This window comes from Homo sapiens, chromosome 19 (genome assembly GCF_000001405.40).
Source record: "Homo sapiens chromosome 19, GRCh38.p14 Primary Assembly".
Taxonomy (NCBI): domain Eukaryota; kingdom Metazoa; phylum Chordata; class Mammalia; order Primates; family Hominidae; genus Homo; species Homo sapiens.
Genome location: NC_000019.10, coordinates 2792837 through 2819368, shown reverse-complemented (window position 1 = coordinate 2819368; position 26532 = coordinate 2792837). Strand labels below are relative to the sequence as shown.

Here is a 26532-nt window from a genome sequence, read left to right as displayed (position 1 = left end):
TTTTATATTTTTGGTAGCGACGCGGTTTCACCATGTTGGCCAGGCTGGTCTCGAACTCCTGACTTCCAGTGATCTGCCCGCCTTGGCCTCCCAAAGTGCTGGGATTACAGGCGTGAGCCACCACGCCCAGCCAAATTAAATTATTGTTTAAATATTTATTTAATATTCTACTGATTGTTATTTATGAGAAATTAAAATAGTAAAACTACTATAATTAATATACTGTTGTAGGATACAACAAATTCCTCTTCAAAGGTTTTAGCCTGTAAATTGTTAAGTACAATCAGTTATGAGCTCCTCTCCAAAGAACCAATGTTTCCGTATATTCAGCTCCCCTGTTCTTTTTTTTTTTTTTTTTGAGATGGAGTCTCGCTCTGTCGCCCAGGCTGGAGTGCAGCGGCGCGATCTCGGCTCACTGCAAGCTCCGCCTCCCAGGTTCACGCCATTCTCCTGCCTCAGCCTCCCAAGCAGCTGGGACCACAGGCGCCCGCCACCACGCCCGGCTAATTTTTTTGTATTTTTAGTAGAGACGGAGTTTCACCGTGTTAGCCAGGATGGTCTCGATCTCCTGACCTCGTGATCCGCCTGCCTCAGCCTCCCAAAGTGCTGGGATTACAGGCGTGAGCCACCGCGCCCGGCCACCTATTCTTTGTTCTTCATTTTAAACTTTAACTTCCTCGTTCTTTTCGTTTCCTTGCCCCTAGTTTCAGTAAACAACCCCTCCTAGCCCCTATCACCTGCTCTGACCTTAGTCACCCTTGGTCACCTGCTCTGACCTTAGTCATCCTTGGTCACCTGCTCTGACCTTAGTCATCCTTGTCACCTGCTCTGACCTTAGTCATCCTTGGTCACCTGCTCTGACCTTAGTCATCCTTGGTCACCTGCTCTGACCTTAGTCATCCTTGTCACCTGCTCTGACCTTAGTTATCCTTGGTCACCTGCTCTGTTCTTAGTCACCCTTGTCACCTGCTCTGACCTTAGTTATCCTTGGTCACCTGCTCTGTTCTTAGTCACCCTTGTCACCTGCTCTGACCTTAGTTATCCTTGGTCACCTGCTCTGACCTTAGTCATCCTTGGTCACCTGCTCTGTTCTTAGTCACCCTTGTCACCTGCTCTGACCTTAGTTATCCTTGGTCACCTGCTCTGTTCTTAGTCACCCTTGTCACCTGCTCTGACCTTAGTCATCCTTGGTCACCTGCTCTGACCTTAGTTATCCTTGGTCACCTGCTCTGACCTTAGTCACCCTTGTCACCTGCTCTGACCTTAGTTATCCTTGGTCACCTGCTCTGTTCTTAGTCACCCTTGTCACCTGCTCTGACCTTAGTCATCCTTGGTCACCTGCTCTGACCTTAGTCACCCTTGTCACCTGCTCTGACCTTAGTCATCCTTGGTCACCTGCTCTGACCTTAGTTATCCTTGGTCACCTGCTCTGACCTTAGTTATCCTTGGTCACCTGCTCTGTTCTTAGTCACCCTTGTCACCTGCTCTGACCTTAGTCATCCTTGGTCACCTGCTCTGACCTTAGTTATCCTTGGTCACCTGCTCTGACCTTAGTTATCCTTGGTCACCTGCTCTGTTCTTAGTCACCCTTGTCACCTGCTCTGACCTTAGTTATCCTTGGTCACCTGCTCTGTTCTTAGTCACCCTTGTCACCTGCTCTGACCTTAGTTATCCTTGGTCACCTGCTCTGTTCTTAGTCATTCTGAGTCACCTTTTCTGTAGCCGTCCTTCCTGCCAAACTACTCACCCCGCCACTCTGGCTCATACCCCTGCTCTTTAAAACAGCCAATCAGAATCAGCTTAGACTGTGCGGGCCAACCCTAGCCAATAGGGGAACAACACAGCAGTAGGGGTACCTGCGTCAGGGGTAAGAACCCCTTCTCCTCCCTCGTTCAGGTGTGCTCGTTCAGGCGCCGCCAACCCCGACTCGCGCAGAGGCAAACTCGGCATTGCGCCTGCGCACCCTGAGCCTGTGAACTACAAGTCCCAGCAGGCCCCGCAGCGCGGCGCTGGGCTCCACCTGCCAGACGCACCCTTCTATAGAAGTAAAATTGCCGTGCTGAGAAAATTAATGTTCGAGTGCTGTTTCTTTTGTGGCACCGAAAATTTATTTCTAACACTATAAAGGTTCATAATATAGTCTCACTAATTGCATTAGTCAGTTCTCACACCGACTAAGGCAAGGGCCACCACGTCTGACTAAATGTTTGTATTTTTTAGTAGAGACGGGGTTTCCTCATATTGGCCAGGCTGGTCTTGAACTTCTGGCCTCAAGTGATCTGCCTGCCTCAGCCTCCCAAAGTGCTGGAATTACAGGTGTGAGCCACTGTGCCCAGCCAATAAAAACATAAATAATAACTGGGAATTTATAGGCTCACATAACCGCCAAGTTCAGGGGCAGGTCCGGACCCCACCGTAAACTGGGTTGGAGGTGCTTGGACGATGTAGTGGGGTAGCCTTCATCACAGCCGTAGCGTCCTCCGGGTTGGCAGGCCCCACTCCAAGCACCTCCACGTGCCGACAGCATTCCCTCCTCCCAATTTCAAGTTCAGGGAAAAATAAAATTCTCTAATCGTTCAAACCGAGTCAGACTGGAGGACGGCACTGATGTAGGTGCTCCAAAATAGGTCACCAGCCCATCCGCAAACCAACGATGAGAGGTGGCCGGGGGCACAGGATGGCCTTTGGGACAGAGCTCCGTCTCCCTGACCTCCTGAGCTGAGGATGGGGCAAGAGGGAACACACAAGGGCAGTCTGGGGTCTGAAGAGGAGAGCATCACACCGGTCTGGTGCAGCCTGGAAAAGCCAGAAAGCTCTCTGCATGGCCACAGGGAGCCCAGTTCCCCAGGGAGCCACGTGGGCAGCACCCTGGCCCCTAGCCCATGCTGGAACTCATCCCTGGGCCCTGTCTACCTGGAGACTTGAACCCAGACCTCCTGCCTTCCAGCCCAGGGCTCAAACCACCCGCAAGCTGGCCATTAATCTCAGAATCGAACTGAGTTTCACAAAACATTTTGTCCCTTGAAGTAGGGACAGCCCTGGAGAGTGAGGCCCCTGTCCCTTTCAAGGCTGTGGCCTTCAGCCGGTGTTGCTCATTGGGGAGAGGAGGGGGGACGCTGGCTCTGCTCCTGAGATGCCCCATCTGGGACACGGGGACAGTAACACAAGTCCCATGGGGAGGATGGGGACGACCGCGCCTGCCCAGCCCGCAGCATGGAGCCTGCCTACAACGGCCCCACTGGTATCATCCTTGAGAGGAGTGGGGCCGCTCGGGGCCACCAACCACAGAGATCCCAGCAGCTTCTCGGTTGGAGAAATACTTCGTGAAGGACCAAAATGGAACCACAGGCACAAAGCCTGGGGCGCGTGTGTTGGAGGCAGCACAGGCAGGGACAGGATTGTGGGGATGAAGAGCCAGGGACACCTGGGGACAGCCCACGGGGGCTGGACGGGTGACTGGGGAGGAGACCACTTCTGCATTCAGGTTTTGTCAAAAACCTAAAGAAGGAGAGTTTACAGAGAAATGTTGCGAAGATCACAAAACATACAGGTTCCAATATATGTATTTTTTACGATTCTTTATTTCCCCCTTTTTTTTCCACTGGGGAGCAGCAAGGGGCCAAGGAGAGTGACAACCTGGACGGGCAGGGGATGCTAATGCCACACTGTCCTCTGAGCCCACTGCTGGAGCCCTGAGTGGGGAGCATGGGGCAGAGGAGCCAGGAGACACAGCAGCTCTGCAGCCCCCTCCCTGTGATCAAAGCCCCCGCTCTGTCCTGGAGTGTTTGGGGAAACCCGGGTGCCCCCGGTGTGGGCATTTGGGAAGGCTCTGAGGACGCCCAGCTCCCTGGGGAACAGGGCCCTGGACCGAGACTCTGTGCTACTACCTCCACATCCCTGGGTGTCCACAGAGCAGGGGACATGCTGGGGGAGGCGGCCCAACTTGCGAAGCACCGCGGGGGGCTGCCTGGGGTATCCGGCAACTAAGCCCAGTTGGTGACTTCCAGGGGAGTGGGGTGTGGATGGTCCAGGCCATCCGCCCACGGCCCAGCAGCCCAAGGCTGTGACCCCAGCTCTGCTGTGATGGGCCAGGCTGTGTGTGTGACAAGGCTGTGATGGCCCAGGGCCCAGCTGGGGTGCTCTTGCACAACTGGGACTTCGCTGGGGACCAGGTGGAGGCCACCTGAGGGCTCGGGGCAGGGGAAGATGAGGGAGCCCCCAGACTTGCCATCTCCACCTCTGCCCAGTGCGGTCGGCTTTGCCTTCCAGCTTTTCTTTTCTGAACCCCAGGTATTTTATTATTATTGTTATTTTAGAGACAGTCTTGCTCTGTTGCCCAGGCTGCAGTGCAGTGGTGGGATCACGGCTTACTGCAGCCTTGACCTCCTAGGCTCAAGCGATCCTCCTGCCTCAGCCTCCCAAAAAACAGACCACAGGCACTGGCCCCACACCCACCGAACTTATTTTTTTTAGAGATGGGGTCTTGCCACGTTGCCCAGGCTGGCCTTGCCCTCCTGGGCTCAAGCAATCCTTCCGCCTCAGCCTCCTGAGTAGTTGGGGCTTCAGGTGCAAGCTATGGGACCCGCTCTGAGCTGTGAGTATCTGAAACGTGACCACTGTGGTGTTCCCACTTATGGATTCCCGCCTCGCTGGCATAACCCTCCTGGCCACAGGCTGTGCCGTCCAGCTCTGCAAAGACAAGACTCACCCCTTAGCCCCCAGAGTTGGAAAGACACAGAAGCAGGTGCATGGAGCAGAGCCAGGCGTGCGTAAGGTGCAAAGCAGGCCCCATGGCAGTGGCCACAGCCACACTGACCTGGGCTGGGTGGGAATGGGACAGGAGGGGCTGAAGCAGATGGCACAGCCCTCGGAGTCCTGTCCAAATGGAGGTGAGGACGAGGCGGATGTCTGGCCACCCATAGGCCTCGGGAAGCAGGGTCACAGGTTCTGCTGACCAGCGTCCTTCGTGGAGGACTAAGACTGGGGAGGGACGCTCCCAGGGCACGAGGGGGGCTCCTGAGAAACTCACAGTCGCGGGAGAAAACATCAGAGCACTGGGACTGAAGAGACGGGGAGCATCCACTTGTCTTGCTCGGGAGGTGGGGACACAGCCGACAGCTATCCCTGAGGCATCTCTGAGCACTGTTGGAGGGTCCAGGAAGCGCCCCCCCGACCCTGCACCCCCGATCAAGACTTTGCCATGTTGCCCACAGCCAGGGGAGTGGGGCCGCCAGGGAGGGCAGGCACAGGCAGTCCCCAAGGCCATGAGGATGAGGGCCATGGCCGAGCTTCCAGCAGCTGCCCTGGTTCACCTGGTTCACTTGTGTCCAACAGGAACCCCCAGAGACTCTGCCTAGGAAGCTGGAGTGAGCCCGGCCTTCCCCTGTGGATGAGAGGGTGGGCAGCTGCTGACCCCCAGCCCCGCCCCGGCTGCCTGTGCGCACAGGGCCTGCCCTGACTTTCCAGACTCTCTGACCAGTGGAGCCTGGTCCTTGATGGCCAGAGCTGAGCAGGGCGGGGGGAATGTTCCAGAATGACAACAGGTGAGAAGCATGCAGGAAGCCGAAGTCTCTCAGACCCCCCAGGCCGGCCTGGCTGGCAGAACTGGTTCCCAGCCCTTTACTCCCCCACCCCCCGCCCCCACAAGGACCTGAGCCCCAATCCAGGGCCTGGTGTGGCAACAGCCCGAGGGCTGGACCCTGACCCGCCGTCCCACCGTCCTCGGACCAAAAAAGCGCAGGAGCCAGTGACCAGGCCAGGGAGCCTCTCTCTTTTTCTGTTTCCTTTTAATGACCTCATTTCAAAGAAGAGCCGTCTCCTGACAAGGGACGTTTCCCAGAGAGGAGACGTGTTAGTGCAACAAAGACCAGGCCCTGGCAGCCACGAAAGCCCTCCAGATGCCTTGAGGACGCCGTCTCTAGCCGGGTGGGCCACGACCGGGTGGGGACAGACAATGACAAGAGGCAAGACAGCCGCTCAGCCACCCTGCCAGTCCCAGGCACTGTGCCAGAGCCTGCCCCATCCTGTGCCGGGGGCTAAGGCACCAGGGCGGCGGGAGCGCAGGCCAGACTGGGCAGTCGCAGTGCCAGGCCTCAGCAGACCTGCGGCTCGGGCTCGCAGCCCCCGACCTGCAGCCCCTTGCTCAGGAGGAAGGCGTCCTGCTTGGGGTCACGGCCCAGGAAGCGCCTCAGCATGGCGCTGGCATCCTCGGAACCGCCGGGTCTCAGGATGCAGCTTCTGTAATCCATGCCAACCTGCCGAGGAGACAGGGCACTGTGGCCGGGTGGGGACCCAGGGAGGAAGGCAGAGGACCCCAGGAGTCTGCACACCCTCGCCCAGGGGGGCCTCGGAGCAACCCCTTCCAGGTTCCCAGGGAGGCCCGGGGGCCGCCTGCATCAGCACAGGTGGGAGAGCGCAGGTGCCTTTCATCAGAATCTCAGAGCGGGGGTGTGCACTGAGGGGCCAGCAGAGCCCCGAACTCCCCAAACTCCCGAGGTGGCTCCCGCCATCAGCCCCCACTGAAATCCCAGGCTGAGCCCATGAACAGAAGTGGCTGAGCCTCCGGCTGGACAATGTGGAAGCCGCTCGCGCTCTGGGCCGCCCTAAAGGCCCAGGTTTGAGCCCAGCCCTGTGACTGCGGGACTACGGGCAGGTGAGGCAGATGAGACTGCGAGGCGCCGGTGCCAGCCACCAAGGAGACCCCGACGCCCCAGAGCCCCGCAGGAGCCTGCGCGGACTGCAGGCTGCAGAGCCAGGGAGCCACAGTCCCAGCTCCCACCCGGGGGACTCCACCTCTACAGCCCCCGGCCGGTCCTCAGAGGTGGGACCCCCTCACCTCAGCAGCAGGGGGAGCTGCTGGAGGCTGCCTCAGGAGGGGGGAGGTCCCTGCTGGGCTGTGAAGACAGGGGGCTTGTCGGACCATTGCTCCCCCAGGTCCTGGCCTCTGCACCTCTATAAAGGGAGCAGCTGAGTGCCTGCTTGGTGGCTCCGAGGTACCTGCAGGCTGCCCAGTGCAATGTTGCACCCAGGCAGGGCAGGGCCGGCCCTCAAAGCTGGTAGCCACCTGTTCCTTGTGAGGGACTCTGGCGGCTGTCCCGAGCCTGGGTCACACCAAGTCAGCGGGAGGCACAGGCTCACATGGCGTAACGGCCGCACTTCATAGTGAGGAAACTGGAGGTTGGAGGAGCAAATGAATGGCAAACGCCAAGCCTTCTCCAGAGAAGGGTCTGTCTCAGCCCATGGCTCTGAGGCCGATCACGCAGATCCCGGAAGGACTCGTATGGGAAGACACGGAGCTCCCAGCACTCACAGCCCGAGGCCTGAGGGGCCAGTGTGGAGCTTCCTGCAGGGCCCAGGGAGGAGCTGTGGGCAGCACCGCACCAAGACCAGCAGGTGCCTCGGCCGGGATGGCTCACCCGGCACACCCAGGCCCAGGCCAAAGGTGTGCTTTTCTCGGCCCCACCCTGCTGTTGAGGACGCCCTCCCTGTCCCCAGTCCCCGCGTACCTTGCCGTTCAGGACGCCCTCCCTGTCCCCAGTCCCCGCGTACCTTGCCATTCAGGACGCCCTCCCTGTCCCCAGTCCCCGCGTACCTTGCCGTTCAGGACGCCCTCCCTGTCCCCAGTCCCCGCGTACCTTGCTGTTCAGGACACCCTCCTGCTTGAAGCGCGTGTGGAACATGTCCATGGAATACACCTCGCTCCACAGGTACCCGTAGTACTGGGCGTCGTAGCCACCTGCCAGATGGCCGAAGGTTGCAGGCATGTTGGTTCCTGGGGCGGACACATGGCAGGGTTCACGCTGTAGCCCCCACCCCATGCTCCTCCTCCAGGAGAAGACAACCAGCCAGACTCCTGAGACCCCTGCCCGGAACAGGGAGAAGCTGGAGGATCACGGTGAGGGCCGAGACCAGCTGGATACTTCTAGAACCAGAGTCAGCCACAAAGCGAGGGCCACAAGTCTCCGCCCCCTCTCCTGGAAGGACAGGAGCTCATTTAACGGGGCTGTCAGCTGCCACAGAGCAAAGTCCCCATTTTGAGACTGCGTCAATAAAGCAAGGCACGCCCACGCAACATCACAGGCCACGCTGCTGAAAACGCTTTTGGAAAGATTTTTGAAGTCTATGGAGTGTTAAGCCAGCAAAACACCACCCATGTTAAAATCATGCTGTATTTCCAAATTCTGGATCCTCGCAAGCGTGTGTGAACACACATGCACACAGGACAACAGGTGAGCATGGAAACAGGGCCCACTTCTCATCATTAGGATCGGAAATTCCTAGGCCTTCCTGTACTTCTCCAGGCTTTTTACAAAGCATGTGTCATACATTTCAATCAGGAAAACGCCAGCTTCATTCAAAGCAGAGGCTCCAGGGAACACACTCCTCCTGGGGGCTGGGGCCGCACACCCGTCCCCGACCCTGGGCCTGCAGCTGCATCTCAGCTGGGGCTGTCCCCCGAGGAGCCTGGGACGCGCTCCGTGGCTCCCCAGCAGGGACTCCTGCACTTGCTAAGTGAAGCATGGGGACCAACTCCCTTCACCTTCCCAGGGAAGCAGCTGAGGCTCCAAATTCCAGGGTGTGCCCGGCTCAAGGGTGGCTACCTGGCGTGGCCGGGACCCCGAGGATCTCCTGGCAGAGCCGCGCATACTCCTCGGCGGGGTCTGCGTCCGTCTGCGTGTGCAGGGCCTGGTCCACCTTGGCGAGGACGATCTGGCGCAGGTTGAAGAGGCCTGGGCGGGAGGGAAGGAGAGAGCTGGCCTCTGCACCTGCCCCGGCCCACTCTGCCCAGAGCTCCGACCCCCACCCGGGGCACATGCCAGGCCCCAGCTGTGTGCCGCCCCCCGAGGTTAGCACCCTTCCCCGGACGGGGCGGGTGCACCTGTGTTGGCCTGCCGGGACTCAATGAGCTTCTCCAGGAGCTCCCGGGGCACGGCGCTGCCTGTGCGGTAGTGCCGCGACATCCGCAGCAGCGGCTCCTGCTCCCACACCCAGTTCTCCAGCATCTGCGACGGCGCCTCCACAAAGTCCCGCTCCACGTGGGTCCCGCTGAACATGGCGAACTCCGCCTGCAGGGATGGGGCAGAGCCTCAGAGTGCCCAGGTCCTGCCTAGCCCGTTCCCGCCGGCCTGGCCCGTGTCAGCTGCCACAGTGCAAACAGGGCGAGTGCACAGGTGATGCGCTGGGCCCGGCCCTCCCACCCCAAAACTGGAAAACGACCGGGACCCGGAGGCCCCTGGGCTGCTGCTGGCTGCCGGTGGCAGCAGGACACACCTGAAGATGCCGGCCACATGACCCCGTCCCTGGAGGCCACCCACGCTTCTCCTCTAGCCACAGAGCTGCTGCTCCCTGAAAGCTCCGCACCCCGAGGGGTTGGGACCTGGGGACGGCCAGGTCCGGGTGGGGACGCTGTGAGGCATGCTGCATCTCCCTGCTCGTGTGTGTGTGGAACCTTCCCTAAAAGCACAGCCCTTGACTGAGTCCCGCTGGAACCATGGCAGGCAGCCAACGGCGAGGGAACTCCTGGGTGATCCTCAAGGTCCTCTCTGCAACACCGAGGCTTTTCTGTTCCAAGGACCACGCAGCCACACTCCTTGTCCCGACGGAATGCACCAAGGGACTCGCCGTGCCAGGCGCCAGGGACACGCAGAAAGCAGCATGCAAAGCAGGCCTGCAGGCACGTGCGTGGGCACCTGTGTGAGCACCTGTGTGGATGTGCACACGCGTGTGCTGGCTACGAGTGCTGTGCAAACAGTGTGGCAGGGAAGCCAGGAAAGGTGGACACACGGTCGATCCTCATTCCTGGACTCCGTGTTTTCAAACTCGCCTACTAAGATCCACAAAAACCCCAGAGGCCAGCACTGCGGCGCCCCTGAGCAGACGGTCCTCAGAAGGGCCGCACTCTGTCTTCTCACTTCGGCTCATTTTATGAGCAAGCGTCCTTTTCTCAGTCTAGTGGGGGCACGGTGTTTGCATCTTTCTGCTCTTGGTGATTTTGTGTTTAAAAGGCCCCAAGCGTTGTGCAGAGCACTGTCTCGTCTCCTTCAGCACCAGGAGGCCATGATGTGCCTCATGGGGACACCCTGTGTGTGCAAGCTGTGCTCAGGTGTGGGTGACAGAGCCACCAGCCATGTGTTCAACGTGAACCCGTCAGCGCTGTACAGCAGTAAGGTGTCTTGAACCCAAAACACACACAGTAAGGTTCTGGAATGATCAGTTGGCGAACACGTGACCAGGGTCCCCTTGGAGGGACAGGTCTGCATGCACTTCTCAGGGTTCTCAGTGACTTCATAGGACAGAGCCTTTCTGAGGAGCGATTGCTGACTGTGTGCTAGGACAGATGCTTGCAACAAGATGGCACCATGTTGGCCAGGCTGGTCTTGAGCTCCTGACCTCAGGTGATCTACCCACCTCGGCCTCCCAAAGTGCTGGGATTACAGGCGTGGACCACCACGCCTGGCCAGGATGTGACTACTTAGAGACAGGATGTCTAAGGAGGTCACTACGGTCAAGTGAGGTTGTTGGGCGGGCCCTGATCCGGCATGACTGGGGTCCCTGTAAGAAGACGAGATGGGGACCCACACAGAAGGACGACCACATGAGGATGCGGGGAGGTGGTGGCGGCCACAAGCCAAGGAGGGACCTCGAGGGAGCCAACCCTGCTGACACTGTGACCTCCGACTCCAGCCTCTAGGACCATGAGGAAATACACGCACCTTGTGTAAGCCCTGGTCTGTGGTGTTTTGCTGGGGCAGCCCCAGGACACGGGCATGACAGGGAGTCACCATCTTTGGGTGGCATTGGATGAAGGAGCCACCGGACGGGTGCAGAGAGAGCCGGAAGCCGAAGCCCCAGGCTTGGGCCTCGCTGACCACAGGCAGCCCCTGCCCCTGCCCCTGCCCCTGCCCCTGCCCGGGCCCGCACCCACCTGGGAGCAGAGCTGGTGCATCACGTGGCCAAACTCATGGAAGTAGGTCTCCACCTCGTCATGCTGCAGCAGCGAGGGCGCGTCGGCTGTGGGCTTGGTGAAGTTGGCCACCATGGCCGCGATGGCGATCTGGCGGCTCCCATCCTGCCGCAGGCAGCCGGGCTGCAGGCCAAAGCAGGCCGCGTGCCCGTACTTTCCTTCCCTGGGGAGGGAGGCAGCGTCAGGCCCCGCAGGGACTAGAGACACCGCAAGAGTCCCTGACTCCGCATCCCTCAGCCCACCTGACTGCTAACCCAGACCGCCGGGCACCTCTGAGGTTCTAAACCTCCCTCTCAGCAGAGGTGGCTTGGCGCAGGGCAGCATGAAAACCACGGCCAGGCCCCGGCTGCCATCCCTCCCCTAAAGGACTCCGGCCTGGGCAGAGCTGCGCCCTGTCGGGGTGGCTGAGTGAGACTGGAAACGGGGACAGCTGCATTTTCGGCCCCTGTGGTGTGCCCACGGGTGCTACGTCTCGGGGTTCATCCCCGAGGCCCCATGGAGCAGGCAACGACTTCCTTCCCATCTCAGACGGGCACACCGGGCTCCGAGGAGACCCAGGGCCGGGGTGCGCCCCCCGCCCCCGCTGCCCTCACCCACCGCGGGTACAGGTCCAGGTAGAACTTGCCGACCACCTCCCCCGAGGCCGCGTCCCTCGCGGTGTAGAGCCGCACGTCCTCATGCCAGGCACTGGCGCCCTCCTCGTGGTGGAAGGCCAGCCCCAGGAGCTCCTGGTAGATGCCCAGCAGCCCGTGCGTGACCACCTGCACGGGGAAGTACTCCTTGAGCAGGTTCTGGTCCACGCAGTAGCGCGTCTCCTCCACCTGGTTCATGTAGTAGCGCATGTCCCAGGCACGGATGCGGCCGTCGAAGGGCAGGCCCCGGCGCTCGCACTCCGCACGCTTCAGCTCCAGAATCACCGCACGCTCCTGCTCCCCCAGGGGCTTCAGCTTCTGCGCCAGCTCATCTGCGGGGAGGGCAGAAAGGTGGGCCTCTCGCCTCGCGGGCTCCTCCATGGCTCTGGGCTCGCCCGCCCGCGGCCGCGACTTCGTCAGGCTCCCCATTTGGAAGGGAGGACCCGCAGTTCCCGGCAACCCCTCGAGGGGCCGAGCATCCTCACGCTCAGGGTGAGGGGGCGGCGGGGCCGGGTGCAAGCATGGGACTGACCCCAGGGCCCGGGCGCTTCCCTGTTCTGTAAGGGTCCCTCGGGGGGAGTGAGGGAGCCAGGGCAGGCGTCAGAAGTCCCTCTTCATGGAGGGAAAGGACAAGGCTCTAGGGGTAGCACCGACTGTCCCCTGGGGTGACCCTGAGAACCTTCCCCACAGGGACCCCAGTGGAGGAGGAAGGAAGGGCTACCTAGGAAGGTGGCCACGGTCTGGCTGGTCTTGGCCATGTTCATCTCCAGGACATAGTCGGCGTGCGTGTGGAACCCCAGCAGGCGGGACTTCTGGGCCCGCAGCGTCACCAGCTCCTTGAGGATAGCGCAGTTCTCCTGCAACCGACACCACCACACTGTCACCCAGGGGCGCCACTCCCTCCACCTCCAGGGCCAGCACGCCCTGTCCCAGGGCCAAAGGCTCATATCCAGCTCCGTCTGACCTCCGGTCCCTGCCCCTCTCGGCCTGTGTTACTACACAACTCCTCTGGTCATGCCACCAGCGTTATCATAATCCCAAGGCCTTTTTGGAACCAGAAGGGGTGCAGATGACTCTAAGGCCTCACACGGAACGTGGTATGGGGACCAGGGGCTGTCCGAGGAGCCTCCGAGGGCATCACTGCTGCATGTGGGGACACCTCCATGTCCAGGCCTTGGTTCCCAGTCTCACGGGCTCTGCCTATCGCCACCAGCAAATGACATGCACACAGCCTCACTTCTGAGGACTGGCACTGCCAACCAAGCCAGTGGGGGTGGGGGAGGACGCATGAAAGCCACGTGAGGCGTTTACGAGGAGAAACAGAGGCCTGTTCAGGACAGATGTGCCCACCAGCTGGGTCCACAGGAAACCCAGCTGTAACCAGCAGGTGCGTGCAGAGCAGCCAGCCAAATAGGGGCCAGGCCGACCGCCAGCAGCAAGGTCTCTGAGGCGGCACATCCCCCGGGACCTGGAACTCAGCCCACCCGTGTGCGCCCTCTTGGCCTGGCCCTCACTCTGCCACTAGGACCCAAGCCTGGGGACCAGGACGGGATTGCCCAGTTGACCTTCTAAGGCGCAGTGGGGAAGTCGAGGTGTGCCCAGTCCACGGGTCCACCTACTTAGGCTTAACAGCAACATGAATTCATAGCCAACATGTAGAGGGCAGGCCACGCCCCATCTGAGCAGACTGAGTTCCCGGTCCCTGAACAGCGAGGAGCACCCCCCTGCCTTGCAGTGATCGGTGCCCACCTGTACCCCCATTGGTACCCACCCGTCCCCCACCCCCCGCAGTGATGGGCACCCGCCCATCCCCCCGCAGTGATGGGCACCCGCCCGTCCCCCCGCAGTGATGGGCACCCGCCCGTCCCCCCGCAGTGATGGGCACCCGCCCGTCCCCCCGCAGTGATGGGCACCCGCCCGTCCCCCCGCAGTGATGGGCACCCGCCCGTCCCCTTGCAGTGATCAGTGCCCGCCCATCCCTTTGCAGTGATCAGCGTGTATCCCCCTTTTGCCAGCCGCACAAGCACCAACTTGGTGTCGTCAGGGGACCAAGAGGCCCACTCCTAGAGCCTCTGCCTGTTCCAGATGGCGAATGGGAGACGTGCAGAGACCACCTGACCGACCACACCATGGCGCCGTGGACAGTTACATGTGTCCCTGTGGGAACGGCCGTCTGACGCCAGTCACAGCGAGATAGCCCAGTCACAACCCACCTGTGGACCCAGGCTCAGGTCCGGGCACCATCATTTAAGACAAAAGGAATGATCTGGGCTGACACACCTGAGGGGCGGCTCCAGATAAGGGAGGGACGAGACGTGTGCGCGGCCAGATGCTCAGAGCAGCAGCAGGAGGCTCAGCTTGGGAAGGATGAACTGGGCCCTGAGCTGTGGCCCCAGGGTCTGGGTGGAGCCCAGCACAGACACCTCCAGGGCACGGCAGAGCCCCACAGGGAGGCCTCTGCTGGCCACTGGGCCTGGCCAGGGAGATTGGGAGGCCATCCAAGTGCAAAGCCTGGAGGTGCCTCACACACATGGAGCAGACGGGCCCCACAAGCTCCAGACCCACTGTTCTGGGGCCCCCTGGCCGTGCCTTCTCACCTCCTTGCACCGGCAGTTGAAGGCCTCCTCCACTTTCCTCCTGGTCTCAGGCACGTGGCATTTCTTCAGGAGGGGGAAGTAATGGGGGTACTTGAGGGTGACCTTCAACTTGCCGTCCTCCATCTTCTCCAGGGAGTTCAGAAAGTCCTCGGGGAGCCCTCCTATGGGGACAGAACCAGGGTGGCTTTGACAGGACTGATGGGCCCACAGCCTGCACACAGCGTGTGAGGGAAGGGGTGGGCTTCCCCTCTGCCTGGAAAGCTACAAGGGGGCCCTCAGCGAGCAGCTGCAGCCTGGCCACCACCCGCTGCAATTCTTACATCCCCCATCTAACCCCATCAAGAAATACCCTGGCTCCCCCACAGCCTGGCCACCACCTGCCACGTTTCTCACGTCCCGCCTCTAACCCCACCAGGAAACCCCCCAGCATCCTCAGAGCAGGATCTCCTGCCCCAGAGAGGTTAAAGCTAAATCCAGCCCAACCCCCGGACATCGTGGGCTTCCAGGGCGCCGTCACCAACCTCATGTGTGAAGGGAGGAGGGTGGCGGGAAGGGTGGCCCGGCCACTGCACAAGGAAACCAGCGTTAGAGGCAGTGCCTCCCATCAAAGACAAAAACAGCAGGAGAGCTGAGCACGCTGGGCCCTGGGCGGAGAGGGAGGCCCCACGTGGAGAGGGAGGTCCTGCTTTGCTTTTCCTGAAGAACCACCCCCAGGCAGAGCCTCCCGCTCAGAGCTGAGATCTCAGCACGCAGCCCCACGGCTCAACCACTTTCAAGTGTGTCCCTCCAGAGAGACCCAATTCCTACTCCCAGAGCTTCTCACTGGAGCCCTGCTGTCCCTTCTCCACCCACAAAACCCCTGGCAGGACACAGTTCACCCCGCTGCCCGGCAGCCACACCCTCCCACCTGGCCCCTGCCCGACAGCCTCAAGAGAAGTGGGGGCGGCAGCATCCCGGACTGAAACCCTCTGGGGTTCCTACCTCATGGCTCGGGAGACGCCAGGGCCACCGTGCCTCAGGCTTGCAGCTTCAATGCAAAGACTGGTTCACCTCAACCCCAGGGCGGTCAGAGTGGAAAGAATGATCGGGAGCTCACTCCGACCCCAGGGGAGTCAGGGTGGAAAGAATGATCCGGAGCTCACACGGACCCCAGAGCAGTAGGGGTAGAAAGAACGATCGGGAGCTCACGCCGACCCCAGGGCGGTCAGGGTGGAAAGAATGATTGGGAGCTCACCCCGACCCCAGGGCAGTAGGGGTGGAAAGAATGATCGGGAGCTCACGGGGACCCCAGGGAGGCAAGGGTGGAAAGAATGATCCGGTTGGGGGGCCAGAGGCAGATGGGGGAAATTTTGGGAGGCCAGCCCGTGGGTGTGGGTGGTGATGAGGGAGCTGAGAGTCCTGTGGCCGGCAGAGCCCCCGCCTTCCCGTTTGTACCCCAGCACCAGCGTGGGCCTGGCAATTGTCTGCCGAGTGACTGCAGCATGAGGGGGAGGCCTCCCGGGACCTGCACATCGTCCTTTCCAAGGACCACGGGCCTTCAAACAGCAGCTCTCCATCTCGACAGTGTGTCACCCAGGAGTGACGGCTGGCGGTCGGAGACGGGAGTTAAAGGACAGCAAGGGAGACAGCTGGGGGGCCCAGCAGCGCTGGACTGGAAGAGAAGCTGCAAAGTGGACTCCTGGAAGTTTTTATTTTTTTAGAAAAAGGGTCTTGCTCTGTTGCCCAGGCTGCAATGGATAGTTCACGAATGCATAGTTCACGTTCACTGTGGCCCTGAACTCCCAGACTCAAGCAATCCCCCTGCCTCAGCCTCCCGAGTGGCTGGGACCTCAGGTGTGTGCCGGCATGCCCCGCTGCACTTGTGGATTTGATATACAGACACAGAATAGAAGAGTGTGTGTGTCCATGTGTGGTGCAGAGATGCGTGTCTGCTTCCTAACTGTTAACGGTGCCCAGGAATGCTGCTCCCTGGCAGTGGTGAACACATCCGGTGCCTAAGTCACCCTCCACTCAAAGGCGCCAGGTCTCCTCCAAGAAATGGAGCATCTGAGGGCTGGGGCAGGGAGAGCATGGGACGAGCCTGCGACATCACATGTCCAACAGTAAGAGTGGGCTCAGAGGCCGAGCCTGCGGTACCGCGCGCCCCACAGTAAGCGCGGGCTCAGAGGCCGAGCCTGCGGTACCATGTGCCCCACAGTAAGAGCAGGTTCAGAGGACAGCAGGTGCATTACAAGGACACAGGGATTGTTCGGAGGGACTCCTGAGGGTCCATGTGGGACGATTTGAGCACTGGGATAAATGATAATGAATGATAACCCGGGAATAAGACAGAAGCCTCATGCACACGGACAGAAACAAATCAGTAAGAAGACAGGCAAGGAGGGAAGGTTCGGAGTCACGGCAGGATGACTGATGCCCAGAGGGTGAGGGCGGCAGAAGTCATCCATGGACATGGCAACTAGTGTATGACAATGTGCGAGTGATGGACACTCACAGGTCTCTGCTCTGGTTGGGTGCGTCCCCTCCAAAATGCACCAGGAACTTAATGCCAGAGATGGTGGTGTCGGGAGATGCGGGTATCGGGAGGTGGCGGTGTCGGGAGGTGGGGGTGTCGGAAGGTGTTGGTGTCGGGAGGTGTTGGTGTCGGGAGGTGTGGGTGTCGTGAGGTGTTGGTGTCGGGAGGTGTTGGTGTCGGGAGGTGTTGGTGTCGGGAGGTGGGGGTGTCGGGAGGTGTTGGTGTTGGGAGGTGGGGGTGTCGGGAGGTGGGGGTGTCAGGAGGTGTTAGTGTTGGGAGGTGGGGGTGTGGGGAAGTGTTGGTGTTGGGAGGTGTTGGTGTCGGGAGGTGGGGGTGTCGGGAAGTGGGGGTGTCGGGAGGTGTTGGTATTGGGAGGTGGGGGTGTCGGGAGGTGGGTGTGTCGGGAGGTGTTGGTGTTGGGAGGTGGGTGGGTCAGGAGGTGGGGGTGTCCGGAGGTGGAGGTATCGGGAGACGGCGGTGTTGGAGGTGGCGGTGTTGGAGATGGTGGTGTTGGAGGTGGCAGTGTTGGAGATGGTGGTGTTGGAGGTGGTGGTATTGAGAGGTAGCAGTATTGGGAGATGTGGGTATCGGGAGATGGCAGTGTTGGGAGGTGGCGGTATTGAGAGGTAGCGGTATCGGGAGATGTGGGTATTGGGAGATGTGGGTATCGGGAGATGGCGGTGTTGGAGATGGTGGTATTGGGAGATGGCAGGATTAGGTACTGGGGCCTTCAAGAGGCAGCTGGGTCATGTGGCCTCTGCCTTCAGGAATGGATGAATCCATTCATGGATTCATGGATGAAGGGACAGATGGGTTAATGTGGCAGAGGGCCTGGGGCTTTGTGAGGAGGAGAGACCTGGGTGGAACCGGCTCGCTTAGCCCCCTCCCCTTGCCATGTGACACCCTGGCCGCCTCAGGGCTCCAGAGTCCCCACCAGGAAGAAGGCCCTGGCCAGATATGGCCCCTCGACCTGGGACTTCTCAGCCTCCAGAGCTGTGACAAGTTAATTCCTTTTCTTATAAACTACATGGCCTTAGGTTTTCTGTTGTAAGCAGAAGAAAAGGAACTAAGACCATCGCAAGGCGTCTCCTGAGAAATGACGGACCACAAAGGGAAACAGGTCCCGGGGCAGCAGCAGCGGACAGCCCTGGAGACTGTCACCCAACACGCTAGCCACCCGCATGACGGTGTCACCTGGCCACATGGGACTCAAGCCACCTGCACGGGAGACCCCTCAGGCCCGACAAATGGAACGGCACCCCAAAGAGTTAGACACCAAAATCCACAAACATTCGAGTTTGCAGGATGGCAAACGTGAAAAGAAACAGGCAGCTGAAACGCCGACAAGAACAAAACTGGCTGAAACCGGCTGGAACCCACATGAGCCAGCAGAGTCTGTGCAGAACCAGCTGGCTGATGCCAACTGAACTTCCACCGCGCTTCATACAGACTTCCCCAGGATTCACACCCAGGACCCACGAGCTGGCACGGACAGATAACTGTGCGTGCCCAAGGACCTTCCAGACCTCCCCTTTCCTTCCAACAATCACCTGCTAATCCCAGAATCCACCTCTGCACCTTCTCTCATGAAAGTACTGCCTGAAAGCTGGCACAGGAGGCAGATTTGAGCTGGACGCCCAGTCTCCTTGGGAGTCACTTGCAATGAGAAGCTTTTGTTTCCTCAAATCCTTGGTGCCATGGCATTGGCTTCTAGAACATCAGGCACCGAGTCCTTCTGCTTGCTAACACGAGCAGGCAGGAGAAGCAGCCCCACGGGGATGGTGCGGGTGGCCGCGGGGACGGTGCGGGTGGCCGCGGGATGGCGTGGGTGGCTGCGGGAATGGTGCGGGTGATCAGTGCACCCACTGAGGGGCAGGCTGGGAAACGTGCTTTACGGCAGATTGTAGCCCGTCGTCTCTCCTGAGTGCCAGAAGCTGAGGGTAGGATGTGCTGCCCGAGACACGGGAGGGCTGAGCAAGTGGCTGGCAGCCAAGCTTGGCAGTGCCCGACCTGCGAGTGTTCCCTCAGGAAACATACGCCCAGGTGACCACACATCAAGCCACCTGCGGAGGCCTCCGGCCATGAGGGCCTTGTCCCCACCCACCACCTCAGAGGCAACTACATTCAGAGTCTAGAACTGGAGGTTATATTCTATAGCACCCATCAGAATATTCCGGCCTGCCTGGGCACGGTGGCTCATGCCTGTAATCCCAGAACTTTGGGAGGTTGAGGCAGGCAGATCCTGAGCCCAGGAGTCTGAGACCACCCTGGCCAACACGGCGAAACCGTCTCTACTAAAAATAAAAAAATTTGCCAGGTGTGATGGCATACGTCTGTAGTCCCAGCTACTCAGGAGGCTGAGACAGGAGAATCACTTGAACCCGGGGGACGGAGGTTGCAGTGAGTGGAGGTCGCACCACTGCACTCCAGCCTGGGCAACAGAGCAAGACTCCATCTCAAAATAAATTAATTAATTAATTAAATTAAATAAATAAAGGCAGGCAGGAAGTGGGGTCTCAAGGGAAAATTGTGGTTCCCTCAGGGCCATGGCTGAGACTGGCACCCTTGGCCACCCCGTCCGGCCTGGGCTTCCGCCACTGCCAGGGACATTTTCTATCAGGGTGGAATCTTGGTGGGACAGACCATGGCCCTCCCCAAGGAGGGCTCAGAGCTTTTGGCTGTAAACGGCCCTGGAGCGCTTCCGGTGAGGAAAGTCCTCAGCCCAGGGCGGTCAGGTCCACGTACTTCGGCCTCCCGCCGCCCTTCAGCACAGAAGCCCACAGGAGGAAGCGGCGGCCCCCGAGGGCCTGGCAGGCCTGCACTGAGTCCCAGGACCGATGGCCACCCGTGCCCCACTGCTCGGCCCCTACCTAGCTCCTGGAGCGTGAAGGGCAGGAAGGTCGTGTCCTCGTTCAGGTTCTTGTTGAAGTCGATGCACAGAAGGCTCAGCTTCTTCTTGATGCGTTTGATGTTCTGGAGAGAAAGGCGGGGCGTGAGGGGAGGGAGAGACCGGGGCGGGCTCCGCGGGGAGACGCAACGCCTGGGAACCCTCTCGCCGAGGGCTGAGGGATTTCCCCAAGAACCAGGCCGAAAGAAGAGGCAACCGAGGAGGAAAGAGTGAGACGGGAGGCGGAGGACAGACAGACACGGAGGCCACGAGGCTGCGCAGTGTGGATTTCAACACCAGCTGCGGCATCCAAAGCTGGGTGACCTCGGGCAACCTCAGGGATGTGCTCCGGTCTGTCAGGTGTGGCCCTGGCCAAGAGTGCTCCAGACCCTCCTATCCATTAAGGAATCACCTTCAGAGCCTGCAGCCTAAGCTTTTCAACATTCTTCTGAGACAGGGACTCGCTCTGTTGCCCAGGCTGGAATGCAGTGGCATGATCTCGACTCACTGCAGCCTCAACCTCCCAACTCAATTGATCCTCCTGCCTTAGCCTCCTGAGTAGCTAGGACTACAGGTACACGCCACTACACCCAGCTAATTTTTGTATGTTTGGTACAGACGGGGTTTCACCATGTTGCTCAGGCTGGTTTCGAACTCCTGGGCTCAAGCAATCCTCCCACCTCAGCCTCCCAAAGTGCTGGGATTACAGGCATGAGTCACCGTGTCTGGCAGCTTTTGAACATTTTACCCCTTATCTGGTAAAGCTGGTTTTAGAAACAGCTAAAACTCGACCCTGGTGATATGGGATATCAACAAAGGAACTGAATCTTGAGTGGTCCCTCTGGTGGCCTTGAAGGCTGGGAGGTGACCACTATGTGACAAGGACCTGGCTTGAGGCCACATGACACATGACAGGCTGGCAGCAGGGCTGTACTTTGACTCAGATTCTCCTGCTGGAAGCTCCGCCAGGCGGGTCTGGAGCCCAGCTCCATGGGGCCAGAGCAGAAATGCTCATCCGCAGGACAGAGGGCGGCAGCAGGGGGAAACTGTGCCCAGGACTTTGCAGGGAGCCTGTATCTTGTCAGGAAGGCCCTGGTTCAGAACCAGCTGAGGGTTTGCTGGGCCTCTCCTGGGAACAGGCCCCATGCTGGGCAATTCCCAATGTCTCCCCCTCTTGCCATCTCACATAACAAACCCAGCCATGCCAGGGAAGGCTCTGGAGACTCAATGAGCACACAGCGCTGGCCCTAAGGGCCGCGGGGACGCGCTGGAACTCTGCTCGCCAGCATCCGGACCTCGCACCTTTTCCGCGCTTCTGTCCTCCAGGCGGGGCTGCCTCTGCTCCCTCCTTGCTTGCTGGCCCTTGTGGGAGAGTTTGTGGCTTCTACCATGCACATGGCCACACATGCTGGGCATGCAACAAGCCGAAGGGGTTTTAAAAATAACTGTGGTACAGTGGCTCACACCCGTAATCCCAGCAGTTTGGGAGGCCAAGGCGGGTGAATCACTTGAGGTTAGGAGTTTGAGACCAGCCTGGCCAATGTGGTAAAACCCTGTCTCTATCAAAAATAAAAAAAAATTAGCCAGCTGTGTTGGCGGGTGCCCGTAATCCCAGCTACTCCAGAGGCTGAGGCAGGAGAATCGCTTGAACATAGGAGGCAGAGGTTGCAGCGAGCTGAGATCACACCGTTGCACTCCAGCCTGGGAGACAGAGTGTGACTCCCTGTCTAAATAAATAAATAAATGCATAAATAAAAATAAAAATAACTGGCTCTTGTCCGCTGCGGCTGAGCTGAGGACCCCCAGTCCCCGAGTACTGAGACGGACCCTGACTCCGCTTTCGTCAGTGCTGGTTTCACTGACAAACCCACCTGGCCTCTCTGAGTCTTGGTTGCCTCAGCCATAAGGTGGAGACGCCCCCTAACCAGGACAGCGGTGGCTTTATGGAACCGGAACAGGGACAGCCATGGGGCTATGGCTGCAGCCTGGGACCTGATTGAACTGTGTGCTTTCTTTCCTGTACAGATGCTCCCTGACTTAGGACAGGGGTATGTCCCAATAATCCCATCGTGAGTTGTGAATATCATAAATCACAAATGCATTTAATAGGAGCGAACATCACAGCTTAACCTGGCCTGTCTTAAGCGTGCTCAGGAACTCACAGCAGCCCACATTCTGGTGAGATCGCCGAAGGCAAAGGCTATCGGATATGAGGTGTTGGGTATCTCATGTAACTTCGGTTTTCAGTTTGCCTGCGTCATTGCAGGCTAGCTGGTAGCTGTGGCTGGCGCCCAGCGTCACAGGACAGCAAGTGCCCAAGTGGCCGGCCTCGGAAAGATCAGCATTCCAAGCACGGTTTCTACTGAACACACACCATGGTGAATCAGGGGCCTGTATTCTGATGCTTTGACATTTGGGTGCCTTGCTGGCCCTCGAGAAATGGCCCCTCCCAGAGACAGCCAACAGCTCGCCTGCAAACATCTTTCACGTGCAAATCAACTAGTCTCGAGCCCCTACACTCTGGGGCACCATCCACCGGCCCCCATTACCCTAGGGCCAGGCACCCGATGAGGGGCAGCCCCCATGCCAGGGCTGGCTGAGATGGTCCAGCCGGCCAACCCTGAGCCCACTCCCCGCTACACCCATGCCTTCACAAGGGACCCCAGCGAAGGCCCTGCCCAGAGCACACCTCCTGACCCAGCCATGCTTCCCATGTGGCGAGCTGCCAGTTCCTGGGAACTGTGACACGCATCTTTCCAGTGGCGGTCGCCACTGCTCTGTTGGTGCCGCTGAACACTGGGCTTCTGCTAACACACTACGCTTGACTTCAGCGCTGCGCTCCCAGCTCTGCACCAACTAACTCATGTCACCCCTGAGACGCCCACATCAGGCACACCGGGCAGTGGGTGGAGGGGCTCCCCTCGTTACCGAGCCTCTGCGCCCCATGTCTGTGTGGACCTGCCTTGCCAGAGTTCAGGTCCTCAGGCAGAAGAAAGATGGACATCAGGCCGGGGGTCAGCCCTGAAGGGGGGACGCTCCCGAGGAGGCAGGGGCAGGGGGCCACAGAAGCTCCACTGGCCACGCCCAGCACTCCCCGCACCCAGTACTCCCTGAGCCCAGCACTCCCCGCAACTGAGCACTCCCCAGGACTGAGCACTCCCCGTGCCCAGTACTCCCCATGCCGAGTACTCCCCAGACTGAGCACTCCCCACACCCAGTACTCCCTGGGACCGAGCACTCCCCCCACCCAGCACTCCCCAAGCCCAAGCACTCCCTGAGCTCAGTACTCCCCATGCCCAGTGCTCCCTGGGACCGAGCACTCCTCACACCCAGCACTCCCGGCACCCAGCACTCCCTGTGCCCAAGCACTCCCTGAGTCCAGCACTCCCCGGGACGCAGCACTCCCTGAACCCAGCACTCCTGATGCCCCAAGCACTCCCTGAGCCGAGCACTCCCCGAGCCCAGCACTCCCCCTGCCCTGCGCTTCTTGCTCCCACCACTCCCTGGGACTGAGCACTCCCTGTGCCCAGCACTCCCCGGGATCGACCATTGCCCACGCCCAGCACTCCCTACACCCAGCACTCACTTCCTGAGTCTCTCTGGGGAGGTGAAGCCCATTTCTCCGGCCCAGCTTGATTAGCCGCTCCAGGTACCGCGCAGCCTCGGGCCTCAGTGAGTCCTTCTGAACTTTCTCCTGGAATAAAAACATCAAAGCATGTAGGACGTGGGCCAGTGCAGCCGCTCCAAAGAGCAGTTTGGCAGTTTCTTAAAAACCTGATCATCCGGCCCCCGTGTGACTTGGCAACTGCACTCCTGGGCATTTATCTCAGAGAAATGACGACCTGTCTCTACATAAAACCTGTGCAAACGTTCGCTTTGTTTGGAAGAGCCCCACACTGACATCAGTCCAGAGCTCCTTCACCAGTGCGATGGCTGAATGGGAATTAGATTGCTGGTGGTCTCCAGGTCGGTATCGGGGTGTAGATGACACCATAGTTTTGCAAAACGTCATCACTGGGGACCTGGGCAAAGTTGGCAAAGGCATTCGATTCTTTCCTGCACCTGCATGGGAACCTCTCATTGTCTCAACAGAAACTCTGGAAAGTGGAGGTGGGAGGATTGCGTGGGCCCAGGAGTTCGAGACAAGCGTGGGCAACGTTGTGAGACCCTGTCTGTATTTAAATAAAAAGAAATAACAATCCACGGCTATCATGGGTCACCCTGATCTGGATTTACCAAAGCACTAGGGCTGCATGATCCTGAGACTGTGGGACACATCAGCACATTCCCAGGGGTCCTCGCCTAAGAGGATGAACAGCAGCAGGAGGGTCTCTGGGTCTCTCCTGATCATGTGACATCAACAGCAAAGGCCCCACTGCATACTGCGAGGAGCATCCGGGGGAGCAGGAGCCCACGCAGCCATGCCGCCAGGCCCTGCCAGCTCACGCCATGTGGGGATGGGGTGTTTGGGTCACACTAGGATGGCCAGGAAAGGAAATGAAAGTGCACATGTGTGGCCGGGCGTGGTGGCTCAGGCCTGTGATCCCAGCACTTTGGGAGGCCAAGGCGGGCGGATCACCTGAGGTCAGGAGTTTGAGAACAGCCTGACCAACATGGCAAAACCCTGTGCCTACTAAAAATACAAAAAATGGGCCGGGCACAGTGGCTCACACCTGTCATCCCAGCACTGTGGGAGGCCGAGGTGGGCGGATCACTTGAGGTCAGGAGTTCGAGACTAGCCTGACCAACACGTTGAAACCCCGTCTCTACTAAAAATACAAAAATTAGCCGGGTGTGGTGGCGGGCGCCTGTAATCCTAGTTACTTGGGAGGCTATTTGCACTCCCCGCAGGGCCCCCTCACCTGGAGCCACACGATCCTCTGGTACACGTCCTCCCTCATGCTCATCTCCACGTCGAACTCAGAGAGCTTCTTGTCGGCCTCTGTGCTGGCTGTCCGGATGTCCTTGGAGGGGGAAACATGCTGGGGGAAGTCAAGGATATTCCTCTGAACTAAAACAGGGGAGACCAGGGAGACAGGTGTGAGAACAGGCCCCAGTACAACTGGCAGGTGTTGCCCGGACCCCTCTCCCAGGCCTGTCTGCTGAATCCCCCCGTGAACTCTCTCCTGCCTCAGCCTCCCAAGTAGCTGGGACTAGAGGCACACGCCACCGTCCCCTCCAGGCTGGGCCCTGGGATGGAGAAAGGAGGTGCTGTTGCCTGTGTCCTTGGAGATCTTACAGACCGAAGAAAAATAAGGATTCAACTCAAAGCCCTCCAAGCCAAGGAGGACCCAACAGAGCTGGGTACGACGAAACAGAGGCTGACGGAATTCCATTCCAGAGAGAGCTGCAGCTGCCGATGGTCACATTTAAATGCATAAACTACTTACAATTTCCTGAGCACATCTGTGCTTTAGGTTGAGTAGAGGAAGTGTCAGTGGCTAGAAAAGCATAAGCTTTAGGCCAGGTGTGGTGGCCAAGCCTGTAATCCCAGCCCTTTGGGAGGCCGAGGCAGGCAGATCACTTGAGGTCAGGAGTCCGAGACCAGCCTGGCCAACAAGGTGAAACCCCATCTCTACTAAAAATACAAAAATTAGCCAGGCGTGGTGGCGCGTGCCTGTAATTCCAACTACTTGGGAGGCTGAGGTAGGGGAATAGCTTGAACCCGGGAGGTGGAGGTTGCAGCGAGTTGAAATGGTACCACTGCACTCCAGCCTGGGCGACAGAGTGAGGCTCCATCTCAAAAAAGAAAAAAAAAGAAAAAAAAAAAAGCTTTAAAATGGAGTCATCCCATGACCCCCAAGACTCCAGTGCCAGGATCCAGCCAGGAGACATGAACACACATCCACACAGGAATCTGCACACGTGCACTCACAGCAGCGCGATTCACAATTGACAAAAGGTCCATCCACGAGTGAATGGACTGACAAGATGTGGCCTCTGCCCAGTGGAACACGACTCAGCCATGAAAAGGAATGAGGCTCTGGAACAGGCTGCGGTGTGGATGCAGCCCGATGATGTCACATGCAGAGAAAGAAGCCAGACACAAAAGTCACACAGTGTGTGATGCCATTTGTTTTTTTTTGAGACGAAGTGTCACTCTGTTGCCCAAGCTGGAGTGCAGTGGTGCAGTCTCGGCTCACTGCAACCTTCAACTCCTGGGTTCAAGCGATTCTCCTGCCTCGGCCTCCCGAGTAGCTGGGATTACAGGTACCCACCACCACGCCCAGGTAATTTTTGTATTTTTAGTAGAGATGGGGTTTCACTATGTTGGCCAGGCTGGTCTTGAACTCCTGACCTCATGATCCATCTGCCTCGGCCTCCCAATGTGCAGGGATTACAGGCATGAGCCACTGCACCCGGCCATGTGGTGCCATTTCTACGAAATATCCAGGACAGGCCCATCCACAGAGACAGGAGGGGACGCGTGGGTGCCAGGGCTGGGGACAGGGGAGATGGAGCGTGACCACTTAAGGGTATAAAATTTCTCTCTGGGGTTATGAAAATGCTCTAAAATGAAAGAATGGTAACAGCTGAGCAATGCTGCAAATTTATTAAAAACCACTGAAGTGTGTGGGTTTTTTTTTGTTTGTTTGTTTGAGACAGAGTTTCGCTGCTGTTGCCCAGGCTGGAGTGCAATGGTGTGATCTCGGCTCACCGCCACCTCCGCCTCCCGGGTTCAAGTGATTCTCCTGCCTCAGTCTCCCGAGTAGTTGAAATTACAGGCATGCGCCACCACGCCCGGATAATTTTGTATTTTTAGTAGAGACAGGGTTTCTGGATGTTGGTCAGGCTGGTCTCGAACTCCTGACCTCAAGTCATCCGCCCACCTCGGCCTCCCAAAGTGCTGGGATGACAGGTGTGAGCCGCCACCCAGCCTGAAGTGTGTGGTTTAAATGGGTGAACTGTATGTTATGCAAATCATATCTCAATGGAGC

At 59.0% G+C, this 26532-nt stretch overlaps 1 protein-coding gene across 3 annotated transcripts in view, besides 1 other annotated feature; it reads right to left on the bottom strand.

Moving 5' to 3' along the window:
* Nucleotides 1-3561: 3561 nt before the first annotated feature.
* Nucleotides 3562-26532, bottom strand: part of THOP1 (thimet oligopeptidase 1) — a 30305-nt gene continuing 7334 nt past the window's right edge. Inside the window, exons 3-13 of one of the 3 annotated variants that reach the window (NM_003249.5) lie at nt 24457-24605; nt 23181-23288; nt 19578-19680; nt 14193-14353; nt 12317-12452; nt 11561-11927; nt 10925-11126; nt 8879-9065; nt 8601-8729; nt 7635-7771; nt 3562-6254 (exon numbers count right to left, since the gene is read on the bottom strand). In NM_003249.5, the coding sequence (NP_003240.1) occupies nt 6093-6254; nt 7635-7771; nt 8601-8729; nt 8879-9065; nt 10925-11126; nt 11561-11927; nt 12317-12452; nt 14193-14353; nt 19578-19680; nt 23181-23288; nt 24457-24605 (1841 nt within the window). In that variant the 3' untranslated portion in view covers nt 3562-6092. Of the gene's footprint in view, nt 6255-7634; nt 7772-8600; nt 8730-8878; nt 9066-10924; nt 11127-11560; nt 11928-12316; nt 12453-14192; nt 14354-14713; nt 14759-15173; nt 17339-19577; nt 19681-23180; nt 23289-24456; nt 24606-26532 lie in introns of those variants that run through there. The other 2 variants (XM_011528228.3, XM_047439299.1) reach the window with 2 other exon arrangements.
* Nucleotides 22845-23345: an enhancer, noted in NCBI's record as "H3K4me1 hESC enhancer chr19:2796022-2796522 (GRCh37/hg19 assembly coordinates)". NCBI's record gives its function as "activates a minimal SCP1, AML or CMV promoter by ChIP-STARR-seq in primed H9 embryonic stem cells {active_cell/tissue: H9 hESC(primed)}" and the evidence as "EXISTENCE:reporter gene assay evidence [ECO:0000049][PMID:30033119]".